The sequence below is a fragment of the Homo sapiens genome, chromosome 7 (assembly GCF_000001405.40).
Source record: "Homo sapiens chromosome 7, GRCh38.p14 Primary Assembly".
In the NCBI taxonomy this organism is placed as follows: Eukaryota; Metazoa; Chordata; class Mammalia; order Primates; family Hominidae; genus Homo; species Homo sapiens.
The window spans coordinates 93,651,489-93,665,573 of NC_000007.14; positions in this window are offsets into that span (position 1 = coordinate 93,651,489).

Consider the following 14,085-nt stretch of genomic DNA (forward strand, 5'->3'; position numbering starts at 1 on the left):
GTTTTACTACTGGATTTGAAGCTTTTGAAAGTACATTACTGTAACATACGAACATTGGGTTGTACTAGCTGATTAATTTAAAAGAGGATAGTTAATGGGTATATCAGTCAAGGTCCAAATAAGAAAATAGACACCTTTTCAGGTCTTTCAAAGAGGCGAGATTTACTACAGAGGGCAATTACTGGAAATTGCTGTCTATTTTATTTTAAAAGAGAGAACAGCTGAGGCATAAAAAAAGCAGAAGGTGAAGCAACCTACAGCTTAGCAGCAGCAGGACAGCACCATATATGAGGGCTGGAGAGATGAGATAAAGGGATGGTGTTATCAGAGACCAGAAGGTAGGTCCTCCTATGGGAATTACAATTGTGGGGGCAGTTGGGAAGCTGCATGATGGAAGTTTGGACCAGCAGGATACATGATCCCTGCCAGAGATGTCACCAGAAGTAGAAAGAGAAGGATAGAAATACATTGAATTTTTTTACCCTGCTCTCACCCTCCAAATTTTGCCATGGCTACTAATGGTCATGTCTAGTTGAAAGTCAGAAGACAAGGGAGACAAATAAATGTCATTACCTGTGATATTCAGAAGAGCAAGAGAAGTGGTAAGGGTGGAGAACACTTTCACAATGAGTATTCATTGATATAAAATAAGAATACCTTGATATATTCAAAAGGATAATATTTATATTTTCATAAAAGAAACAAAGGATGACAGGAAATTTCCAAAACTTAACAATGACAACTCAAATTACAACATGCAACATTTGTCACTTGGTCTTTTAGAAAAACAAGGGGGTAAAATAAAACATCTCTAGCTTTAATTTTGTGTTAAAAGGTTTTATACAAATGACTTAACCTTGCTTTCATTATATATCTGTTGAATACTAAATATTTGTACACATAATAACTACGTCTCTATATTCATGCCAATGTTTTATTTTTATTTTATTTTATTTATTTATTACAATTTAAGTTCTGGGATACATGTGCAGAACATGCAGGTTTGTTAAATAGGTATACACGTGCCATGGTGGTTTACTGCACCCATGAACCCATCATGTACATTAGGTATCTCTCCTAATGCTATCCCTCCCCTAGCCCCCCACCCCCTGACAGGCCCCAGTGTATGATGTTTCCCTCCCTGTGTCCCTGTGTTCTCATTGTTCAGCTCCCACATATGAGTGAGAACATGTGGTGTTTAGTTTTCTGTTCCTGTGTTAGTTCGCTGAGAATGATGGTTTCCAGCTTCATCCATGTCCCTGCAAAGGACATGAACTCATCCTGTTTTATGGCTGCAAAGTATTCCAGGGTGCATATGTGCCACATTATCTTTATCCAGTCTATCATTGATGGGCCTTTGGGCTGGTTCCAAGTCTTTCCTATTGTAAATAGTGCTGCAGTAAACATACGTGTGTATTCATGTCAATGTTTAAGAGATTTGCTGTAAACATTATTACAGTATAATCTATGTAGGGGATGTCAGACAAGTGATAGTATTCACAACAATTTAGTCATAAATCAACAAAACTCCCATTATTTTAGCCATAATTATGTGGCTGTTTCCTTTATTTACTTAGGCAAAGATCTAGACCCAGAGACATGGAGACAATAACTTTATTTTCAGTCAGTCAACAACAATTTTCCTGTCTATGTGACTACAAATATGTTAAGAATTTTAGGAGGAGTAAGAGAAATGACAGCCCTGGTTTTCATCTTTAAGAGAGAGTAACAACAAAAACGAATATATTAAATTATTTAGTTGTACTGGCCAAAAGAAAGAATAAGATTAAATGTAATAATATGGGCTTAAGAGCACAGTTTTCATAGTCAGACAACGTTAACTGTTTTAGTTTTGCAATGTTTTGCAAATTGCTTTAGGAGTCTTTGTTTATTGTAATAGGGATAGAGATATTATCTGTTTCATGGAGTGGTTATAAGAAGTGATTAAACACATGAAGCAATACAGGGTACAGAATGTACTATCGTCAATGAATGGTAGTTATTATTCATAATAATATTAATGTTACTACTACTAATAATGACAAGAATAGATGGGCAAGACAGGGGAGACTAGAACTGGGCTTTGAAGGATCAGTAGAATTTGGATAGGTTAAGGAGGGTATTATTCTAGAAAGTACAAATAGTCGTGAGAAAGGCTTACAAGGAGGGAAAAACACTCGCAAGAGATGTATGGGGCCAGTGGATTGAGAGAAAGCTAAGTAAAAAGACGACTATCAGGTCATTGAAGATGTCAAAAATAAGGCAATGATAGGGTTCAACCTCTCTTCCAAGCATAGAATGAAACTTTACAAGTTTTTTTTTAAATAATTGAGAAGTAAGTAACATAAAATAAAATACACATCTTAATCGTTCGGTTAACAATCGTATAGCCCCTGTCTAAACACCAAAGAAAGCAAAATATAGACCTTTTCCAACACACCAGAAATTTCCCTCATGCACATTTTCAAAAATTTATTTTCCTCCCCATCACAGCTTCTATGACTTTTTAATCTCTGTAACTATTTATCTGTTCTTGGACTTCCTATAAATGGAATTATTGAATAAGTATTCTTCCATGTCTGTCTTCTTTTATTTAACACATTATTTTTGAAATTGATCCATTTGCTGGGTCTTGTATAATGATCTATATTTTAGGAGATCTATATTGTTCAAAAATAACATTTATAATAAAATTTATTTGTTATAACATACCTTATCATTTAAATGCTTTATTCATGATGTTAATTTGTGTTTCCTCTATATTTTTTGATCATTTTAGCTAGATTAATCTTTTCAAAAAAATCAATTATTCACCTCTTCATTTTCTCAATTTTTTGTTCAACTTCTATTTCACTGGTTTCTACTTTTATTTTTAATTTTTTCTTCTTATTTGCATATAATTTGCTATTCTTTTTCTAGCATGTTCAGGTGGACTCTTAGGTTATTATTTTAGACTTTTATTATTTTTAAAAACTTTCATTTCAAGCTAAAAATTTTTCTTTTGGCATAACTGCATCCTTTATTTTTATGCACTGTGTTTTTATTATTTACTCCAATGTATTCTCTAATTTTCCTGTATATTTTCTTTGAACTATGAGCTATTTGGGCATACTTTAATTTCTAGATTTTCTACATATTTATAATTTCTCTATACTTATACATATATAGTTACTATATTCATTTTATGTATCTATTTTATATTTATTCAAATATATTTATTCAAATATATTATATATATTAAAACTTCTATAATTTCTATACATGCTAAGTATATTGCTAGATATATTTATTAATTTCTAATATGATATCATTGCAGCCTGAGAATAATTCTGTATGATTATGATTATTTGATATGTATTGCAATTTGTTTAAGACCCACGATGTGGTCTATCTTAGTGAATATTTTAGGTCACTTCAAAAAAATATATATTCTGCAGTTAGAAGTAATATCCTATGTGTGCCAATTGGGTCAGATTGATAGTGTATTTAAAATCTATATTTTCACTGAATTTTGTCTACTTATTCTAATAGTTACTTAGAAAGGTTTGCTAAAATCTCCAACTACAATTATGGATTTATCTATTTTTTCCATTAGTTTTGTCAAATTTGATTAATGTCTTTTCAAACTCTGTAATAATTAAGCGCATACATGCTTAGGATTTTATGTTTTCTTGATGACTTGTTTGTTTTGACATAACACACACTCTTTTCTTTCTAGTAGTACTCTTGTCTTGAAATCTTCTTTGTCTGACATTAGTATAGCTATGCAAGTTTTCTTATGCTTACTGTTTTCACAAGAATATTTTCTACACTTTTAATTTGAATCCATCTGTGTCTTTATATCAAGGATGCTTTTTGTAAACAGCATATATTTGGGTCTTGTTTTGTTATTCGGTATAGTAAGCTCTTTTAATTGGAATGGTTATCCCATTTACATAGTATGTAATTATTGACATGTTTGTTTCGGTGTTCCATTTTGGTATTAATTATTTGTCCTCTTTATACTTTTTTTTTTTCCTGTTCTTCCTTTCATGTCTTCTGTTTGGTAAATCACATTTTTTTGCAGGGGATGGGGAGTATTTTATTTTATCTCTTGTATTGACATTTTAGTTATATCTCTTTTTAAATTGGTTGCTTTAGAAATTACAATAAAAATTATGAAGTCATTACAGTCTACCTTTAAATAAAAATAACATATGACCTCAGAGTCTGCATAAGAACCTTATAAAAGTTATAACACTATAATTCCATTTATTTTTCCCTATTCTTTGTTTCTTGGGTTATCATAATTTACTTACAGATATGCTCTATTTTTTTTACTATTTTTTAAATAAAAAACAAGTCCCTTAAAATTTATAAATGTAACAAAATATAAAAAACATAATCAAGGTAATTTTAAGTCTTTTATGTTTACTTAGTTATTTACTTTTTCTGATAGCTTCGTGCATTTGTAAAGAATTTGGTTTCCTCTGGTCCACCTTTCTTTCAACTTAAATAACTTATTTTTCTATTTATTTATTTACTCTGTATTAATTTATTGAAGTGTAGATTTGTTGGAGACAAACTCTTAACTTTTGGCTATCTGATAATATCTCTACTGCTTCCATAGTTTAAAGATATTTTCACTGGAGATAGCACGCTAGATTTGACAGTATTTATTTATTTATGCTTAGCACTTTAAAGTTATTCTATATGCATCTGGCTTTTATTATTCTGATAAAATGGTAGCCACCATTTATATTATTTTTTTCCTATATGTAATGAGTCTTTTGTTCTCTGGCTATTTTTACAAATTGCTATTTATCTTGATTTCCAGGAACTTGATTATTCTGCAGATAGGCATAGTTTTCTTGGTATTTATCCTGTTTTCGTTGCTGAGCATTTTGGACCAGTGGGTTGATGTCTGTTCCTAGTTTTTTAACATGTTATTCATTATCTCATCATTCTGCCTCATCCTCTCTCTTTTTGAGGGGACTACAATACACATAACTGTTTTGTTATGTTCACTTTTTTCATTCTGAGTTTTAGTTGGGATTCTTCCTATTTAACTGCTGTTCAAGTTTTCTGATAGTTTACTGTTAAGTCATTAAATCAATTTTTTATTTTGGACTTGGCACTTTTCATTTGATTTCCTTTTTGTTTGAGACAGGGTCTCACTCTATCACCCAAGCTGGAGTGCAATGGTTCCGTCATGGCTCACTGCAACCTCTGCCTCCTGGGCTCAAACAACCCTCCCACCTTAGCCTCCTGAGTACCTGGGAACACAGGCGTGCACCACCACACTTGGCTAATTTTTGTATTTTTTTTTTTTTTTTTTTTGTAGAGATGGCGTTTTGCCATGTGTCCCAGGCTGGTCTCAAACTCCTGGGCTTAAGCAATGCTCCCATTCGGTCTCCCGAAGTGCTGGGATTATAGGCATAAGCCACTGGGTCTGTCCTATTTTTTTGCTATAGCTTTTATCTCTCTGATAAATTTCCCCACCTCTTTACACATTTCATTAAACTTTTCTTCTGGAACCTCTAGTATTTTAGTCACAATCGTTTTAAAGCCCACATCAATAATTTCATTGTCTTGAAAATATCTGGGTCTGCATTTGTTAACTGTTTCTTCTGAGCAAGGGTCTCATTTTGTTACTTTTACATGTGTCCTACAATGTTTTATTGCATACTGATAAGTTTGTATAAATATCAGTAGAGATAGAAGTAAATAATGTTTACCTTCAGAAAGGGCACACCACCTTTTTCAGACTGCTGGAGAGGTGTCGAAGTTATTCTAATGTGCAGATGTATTGGATCTGAAGTTTGTTGTGGCTTTAATTTATTTTACCACTGACTTTAAGCACTTTTAGGTTGGGAACAGGACATTCCTTTTAGTGAGATCTAGGATATGTGCACTAACAACATTCTGGAAATTTACCTAGTTTATAGTCACACTACCAATTTTTGTAAATGTGAGAAATATTTTTCTACTTTCTATCCTAGCTGCTAGAATTTGGAGCAGCTGTGGAGTTTTTTGTTTTGTTTTTGCTTTCCAGTTTTACCCCTTGCTTACTGGGCCATAGTATATCTTTTTTGAGTGCTGAGGTCTCCTCAAGGCATTCAGAGAACAAATGCTCTTCACTGTATGAAGGTCTAGAATGCCCCGGATGTGTTTCTTTCAGTTCTACTAGTGTGTTCACAGTCTTTCATGTTTGAAAGCCTAAAGTTACTGATAACATTTTTTTTTTTTTTTTTAGCTTTCTTTTCTTGATGTCCCACCTGCTAAGGTTGCTGCCTTGAATATACAGGAAACCCTTCACACCTGAGGGAGAATTTCCCTGAACTTCCTTCCCTGACTCTGGAGATTAGTGTAATATTGCTGAATATTTGGTGAAGAGCTCAGGGGAATAATTGGCAGGTGGTAACATCTATAGCCCAGCTTTTTTTTTTAGGACAATTTCAGTTGTTTTCCTTATCTCTTTTATGGCATATTCTTCATCCTCTCATTAGTATTCTAAGAATATAAATGTCTTGTCACTTGTCGTAGTTTAATTCATTTGTGTTTCTTTTTTTTTCTTTTTTTTTATTATACTTTCAGTTCTAGGGTACATGTGCACAACATGCAGGTTTGTTTCATATGTATACATGTGCCATGTTGGTTTGCTGTACCCATTAACTTGTCATTTACACTAGGTATTTCTCCTAATGCTATCCCTCCCCCATCCCCCCACCCCACAACAGACCCCAGTGTGTGATGTTCCCCGCCCTGTGTCCAAGTGTTCTCATTGTTCAGTTCCCACCTATGAGTGAGAACAAGTGGTGTTTGGTTTTCTATCCTTGCGATAGTTTGCTGAGAATGATGGCTTCCAGCTACATCCATGTTGCTGCAAAGGACATGAACTCATCCTTTTTTATGGCTGCATAGTATTCCATGGTATATATGTGCCAAATTTTCTTAATCCAGTCTATCATTGATGGACATTTGGGTTGGTTCCAAGTCTTTGCTATTGTGAATAGTGCCACAATAAACATACGTGTGCATGTGTCCTTATAGTAGCATGATTTATAATCCTTTGGGTATATACCCAGCAATGGGATTGCTGGGTCAAATGGTATTTCAAGTTCTAGATCCTTGAGGAATTGCCACAATGTCTTCCACAATGGTTGAACTAGTTTACACTCCCACTAATAGTGTAAAAGTGTTCCTATTTCTCCACAGCCTCTCCAGCACCTGTTGTTACCTGATTTTTTAATGATTGCCATTCTAACTGGTGTGAGATGGTATCTCACTGTGGTTTTGATTTGCATTTCTCTGATGACCAGTGATGATGAGCACTTTTTCATGTGTCTGTTGGCTGCATAAATGTCTTCTTTTGAAAAGTGTCTGTTCATATTCTTTGCCCACTTTTTGATGGGGTTGTTTGATTTTTTTCTTGTAAATTTGTTTAAGTTCTTTGTAGATTCTGGATATTAGACCTTTGCCAGATGGGTAGATTGCAAAAATTTTCTCCCATTCTGTAGGTTGCCTGTTCACTCTGATGGTAGTTTCTTTTGCTGTGCAGAAGCTCTTTAGTTTAATTAGATCATGTGTTTCTATTTTGGCTTTTGTTGCCATTGCTTTTGGTGTTTTAGTCATGAAGTCATTGCCCATGCCTATGTCCTGAATGGTATTGCCTAGGTTTTCTTCTAGGGTTTTTATGGTTTTAGGTCTAATATTTAAGTCTTTAATCCATCTTGAATTAATTTTTGTATAAGGTGTAAGGAAGGGATCCAGTTTGAGCCCTCTACATATGGCTAGCCAGTTTTCCCAGCACCATTTATTAAATAGGGAATCCTTTCCCCATTTCTTGTTTTTGTCAGATTTGTCAAAAATCAGATGGTTGTAGATGTGTGGTGTTATTTCTGAGGCCTCTGTTCTGTTCCATTGGTTTATATCTCTGCTTTGGTACCAGTAACATGCTGTTTTGGTTACTGCAGCCTTGCAGTATAGTTTGAAGTCAGGTAGCATGATGCCTCCAGCTTTGTTCTTTTTGCTGAAGATTGTCTTGGCAATGTGGGCTCTTTTTTGGTTCCATATGAACTTTAAAGTAGTTTTTTCCAATTCTGTGAAGAAAGTCATTGGTAGCTTGATGGGGATGGCATTGAATCTATAAATTACCTTGGGCAGTATGGTTATTTTCATGATATTGATTCTTCCTGTCCATGAGCATGGAATGTTCTTCCATTTGTTTGTGTCGTCTTTTATTTCGTTGAGCAGTGGTTTGTAGCTCTCCTTGAAGAGGTCCTTCACATCCTTCGTATGTTGGATTCCTAGGTATTTTATTCTCTTTGAAGCAGTTGTGAATGGGAGTTCACTCATGATTTGGCTCTCTGTCTGTTGTTGGTGTATAAGAATGCTTGTGATTTTTGCACATTGATTTTGCATCCTGAGACTTTGCTGAAGTTGCTTATCAGCTTAAGGAGATTTTGGGCTGAGATGATGGGGTTTTCTAAATATACAATCATGTCATCTGCAAACAGGGACAATTTGACTTCCTCTTTTGCTAATTGAATACCCTTTATTTCTTTCTCCTGCCTGATTGCCCTGGCCAGAACTTCCAACACTATGTTGAATAAGAGTGGTGAGAGAGGGCATCCTTGTCTTGTGCCAGTTTTCAAAGGGAATGCTTCCAGGTTTTGTCCATTCAGTATGATATTGGCTGTGGGTTTGTCATAAATACCTCTTATTATTTTGAGATACGTTACATCAATACCTTGTTTATTAAGAGTTTTTAGCATGAAGGGCTGTTGAATTTTGTCAAAGACCTTTTCTGCATCTATTGAGATGATCATGTGGTTTTTGTCTTTGGTTCTGTTTACATGGTGGATTATGTTTATTGATTTGCCTATGTTGAACCAGCCTTGCATCCCGGGGATGAAGCCAACTTGATCTTGGTGGATAAGCTTTTTGATGTGCTGCTGATTTTGGTTTGCCAGTATTTTATTGAGGATTTTTGCATCAATGTTCATCAGGGATATTGGTCTAAAATTCTCTTTTTTTTGTTGTGTCTCTGCCAGGCTTTGGTATCAGGATGATGCTGGCCTCATAAAATGAGTTAGGGAGGATTCCCTCTTTTTCTATTGATTGGAATAGTTTCAGAAGGAATGGTACCAGCTTCTCTTTGTATCTGTTATAGAATTCAGCTGTGAATCCATCTGGTCCTGGACTTTTTTTGGTTGGTAGGCTATTAATTATTGCCTCAATTTCAGAGCCTGTTATTGGTCTATTCAGCAATTCAACTTGTTCCTGGTTTAGTCTTGGAAGGGTGTTTGTGTCCAGGAATTTATCCATTTCTTCTAGACTTTCTAGTTTGCTTGTGTAGAGGTGTTTATACTATTCTCTGATGGTAGTTTGTATTTCTGTGGGATCAGTGGTAATATCCCCTTTATCATTTTTTATTGTGTCTATTTGATTCTTCTCTCTTTCCTTCTTTATTAGTCTTGCTAGTGCTCTATCAATTTTGTTGATCTTTTCAAAAAATCAGCTCCTGGATTGATTGATTTTTTGAAGGATTTTTGTGTCTCTATCTCCTTCAGTTCTGCTCTGATCTTAGTTATTTCTTGCCTTCTGCTAGCTTTTTAATGTGTTTGCTCTTGCTTCTCTAGTTCTTTTAATTGTGATGTTAGGGTGTCGATTTTAGATCTTACTGCTTTCTCTTGTGGGCATTTAGGGCTATAAATTTTCCTCTACACACTGCTTTGAATGTGTCCCAGAGATTCTGGTATGTCGTGTCTTTGTTCTCATTGTTTTCAAAGAACATCTTTATTTCTGCCTTCATTTCGTTATGTACTCAGTAGTCATTCAGGAGCAGGTTGTTCAGTTTCCATGCAGTTGTGCAGTTTTGAGTGAGTTTCTTAATCCTGAGTTGTAATTTGATTGCACTATGGTCTGAAAGACAGTTTGTTGTGATTTCTGTTCTTTTACATTTGCTGAGGGGGGCTTTACTTCCAGCTATGTGGTCAATTTTGGAATAAGTGTGATGTGGTGCTTAGAAGAATGTATATTCTGTTGATTTGTGGTGGACAGTTCTGTAGATGTCTATTAGGTCTGCTTGGTGCAGAGCTGAGTTCAAGTCCTGGATATCCTTCTCTCTTATTGATCTGTCTAATATTGACAGTGGAGTGTTAAAGTGTCCCATTATTATTGTGTGGGGGTCTAAGTCTCTTTTTAGGTCTTTCAGGTCTTGCTTTATGAATCTGGGTGCTCCTGCATTGGCTGCATATATATTTAGGATAGTTAGCTCTTCTCGTTGAATTGATCCCTTTACTATTTTGTGATGGCCTTTTTTGTCTCTTTTGATCTTTGTTGGTTTAAAATCTGTTTTATCAGAGACTAGGATTGCAACCCCTGCTTTTTTTTTGCTTTCCTTTAGCTTGGTAGATCTTCCTCCATCCCTTTATTTTGAGCCTACGTGTGTCTCTGCATGTGAGATGGGTACAGCACACTGATGGGTCTTGACTCTTTATCCAATTTGCCAGTCTGTGTCTTTTAATTGGGGCATTTAGCCCATTTACATTTAAGGTTAATATTGTTATGTGTGAATTTGATCCTGTCATTATGATGTTAGCTGGTTATTTTGCCCATTAGTTGATGCAGTTTCTTCCTAGCGTCGATGGTCTTTACAATTTGGCATGTTTTTGCAGTGGCTGGTACCGATTGTTCCTTTCCATGTTTAGTGCTTCCTTTAGGAGCTCTTGTAAGGCAGGCCTGGTGGTGACAAAATCTCTGTGTTTCCTTGTCTCTAAAGGATTTTATTTCTCCTTCACTTATGAAGCTTAATTTGGCTGGATATGAAACTCTGGGTTGAAAATTCCTTTCCTTAAGAATGTTGAATATTGGCCCCCAATCTCTTCTGGCTTGCAGGGTTTCTGCTGAGAGATCTGCTGTTAGTCTGATGGGCTTTCCTTTGTGGGTAACCCGACCTTTCTCTCTGGCTGCCCTTAGCATTTTTTCCTTCATTTCAACCTTGGTGAATCTGACAATTATGTGTCTTGGAGTTGCTCTTCTCGGGGCATATCTTTGTGTTGTTTTCTGTATTTCCTGAATTTGAATGTTGGCCTGCCTTGCTATGTTGGGGAGGTTCTCTTGGATAATATCCTGAAGAGTGTTTTCCAGCTTGGTTCCATTCTCCCCGTCACTTTCAGGTACACCAATCATACCTAGATTTGGTCTTTTCACATAGTCCCATATTTCTTGGAGGCTTTGTTCATTTCTTTTTACTCTTTTTTCTCTAAACTTCTCTTCTTGCTTCATTTCATTAATTTGATCTTCAATCACTGATACCCTTTCTTCTAGTTGATTGAATCAGCTACAGAAGCTTGTGCATTCATCACATAGTTCTCGTGCCATGGTTTTCAGCTTCATCAGGACATTTAAGTTCTTCTCTACACTGTTTATTCTAGTTAGACTTTTGTCTAATCTTTTTTTCAAGGTTTTTAGCTTCCTTGCGATGAGTTCAAACATCCTCCTTTAGCTTGGAGACGTTTGTTATTACCGACTTTCTGAAGCCTACTTCTGTCAACTCGTCAAAGTCGTTCTCTGTCCTGCTTTGTTCCATTGCTGGCGAGGAGCTACGATCCTTTGGAGGAGAAGGGGCGTTCTGGTTTTTAGAATTTTCAGCTTTTCTGCTCGGGTTTCTCCCCATCTTTGTGGTTTTATTTACCTTTGGTCTTTGATGATGGTGACCTACAGATGGGGTTTTGGTATGGATGTCCTTTTTGTTGATGTTGATGCTATTCCTTTCTGTTCGTTAGTTTTTCTTCTAACAGGTCCCTCAGATGCAGGTCTGTTGGAGTTTGCTGGAGGTCCATTCCAGACCCTGTTTGCCTGGGTATCACCAGCAGAGGCTGCAGAACAGCAAATATTGCAGAGCAGCAAATATTGCTGCCTCATCCTTCCTCTGGAAGCTTCGTCTCAGAGGGGCACCTGCCTATATGAGGTGTCCATCAGTCCCTACTGTGCAGTGTCTCCAAGTTAGGCTACATGGGGGTCAGGGACTCACTTGAGGAGGCAGTCTGTCTGTTCTCAGAGCTCAAATACCATGCTGGGAGAACCACTGCTCTCTTCAGAGTTGTCAGACAGGGAAGTTTAAGTCTGCAGATGTTTCTGTTGCCTTTTGTTGAGCCATGTCCTGCCTCCAGAGGTGGAGTCTATAGTGGTAGGCAGGCCTTGTTGAGCTGCGGTGGGCTCCACTGAGTTCAAGCTTCCAGGCCACTTTGTTTACCTACTCAAGCCCCAGCAATGGTGGACGCCCCTCCCCCAGCCAGGCTTGCCACCTCGCAGTTTGATCTTGGACAGCAGTGAGCAAGGCTCCGTGGGCGTGGGATCCACTGAGCCAGGTGTGGGATATAATCTTCTGGTGTGCTATTTGCTAAGACCATTGGAAAAGTATAGTGTTTAGGTGGCAGTGTCCCGATTTTCCCAGTACAATCTGTCATGGCTTCCCTTGGCTAGGAAAGGGAAATCCCCCAACCCCTTGTGTTTCCCCAGTGAAGTGATGCCCCGCCCTGCTTCAGCTTGCCCTCTGTGGGCTGTGGGCTGCCCCCACTTTCTGACCAGTCCCAGTGAGGTGAACCAGGTACCTCAGTTGGAAATGCAGAAATCACCCATGTTCTGCGTCGATCACGCTGGGAGCCGCAGACTGGAGCTGTTCTGGTCTTGGAACCAGAAGCCCATTTGTGTTTCTTTAACTCTGTATGATTTTAAAACTTGTCCCATTCATTTTGTGTTGATGTTGAGTGTTATGGTAAGCATTATAGTCTCATGTGACTTGATAAATCTGAATAATAAGAAGAAACTAGGGAGCTCTATACATCAAATTAAATAAGTCTCATAGTAAAGATGATGTGAATTAATAAAATGAGATGTAAGAATTAGAAAGTATTTGTACATATTAAATTAATTTGAGTGTACAAGGAAATCTGAAACTACCTTCTGACCTTTATGCAATAATCTTAAAGAGTCATGCTGCTGAATAAAATTTATCAGAAGAAACGTCTACTGTACAGGATAGGAGAAGAACAATAGGTTTACATTTCAGAGAGAGAAAATAGTGTTACTGAAACCAAGGAGGCATTGGGAAAATAAAGACAAGTTGGAGAAAGATATAAAACTCTATAATTTTAACAATTATAAGGTAGGATAAGGCAAGAACACATTGGTATTTCTAGCAATAGAAGAGAAATATTGACTTTTACTTCTGGCAAAATGTTGGGCCAAGTTATTTATATTAAATCTCTGCTTGAAAAATACTTAAAATATTGAATAAAATGTAAACACATTTTAAATGCATTGAGGAAAAATATTTAAATTTAAAAATACCACTAGGTATTAGGGGAATCCATGGTTCACAAGTGAGTATTATGAAACTCTCAGGGTAGAATTCATTCTAGTCTTACACAACATCTCACAGTTAATATGAAATAACTTCTCAAGTCGTTATGAGTCTGGTATGATATTGACATCACCAATATCTGAAAGGTATAGTATGAAGAAGAATATTACAGGCCAATTTCAGTCATGAATTGTGGTGAAAAATCCTAAACAAAATATTAACAAATATGCTCCAACAAAACATAAAAGAATAAGAAATTATGGCCATGTTGAACTTATCTAAGAAAACCAAGTTCAGTTTAATATTACAAAAGCAATTAATGTAATTTATGACATTAAGGGTTTAGAGGAGAATAATTATATTATTCAATATGTGCAGAAAATGTAACATTCAAATTAGACAGAAATCTTAGAAAACTGACAAACATGGTTTCTTAATCTGGTAGAGGTCATATAAAATATCTATAGCAGCACTGTACTTAACAATGACAACATAGAAACCTTTGCTTTGAGATTACCAATTAAAAAAAGAAAGTTTAAGTTTATTTTTACTACTTCTACTAAGCATTGTAGACAATGCTAATAACACAAAAAATAAGGCCAGGCGTGGTGGCTCACGCCTATAATTCCAGCACTTTGGGAGGCCAGGTGGGTGGATCACGAGGTCAGGAGATTGAGACCATCCTGGCTAACACAGTGAAACCCTGGTCTCTACTAAAAATGCAAAAAAAAAAT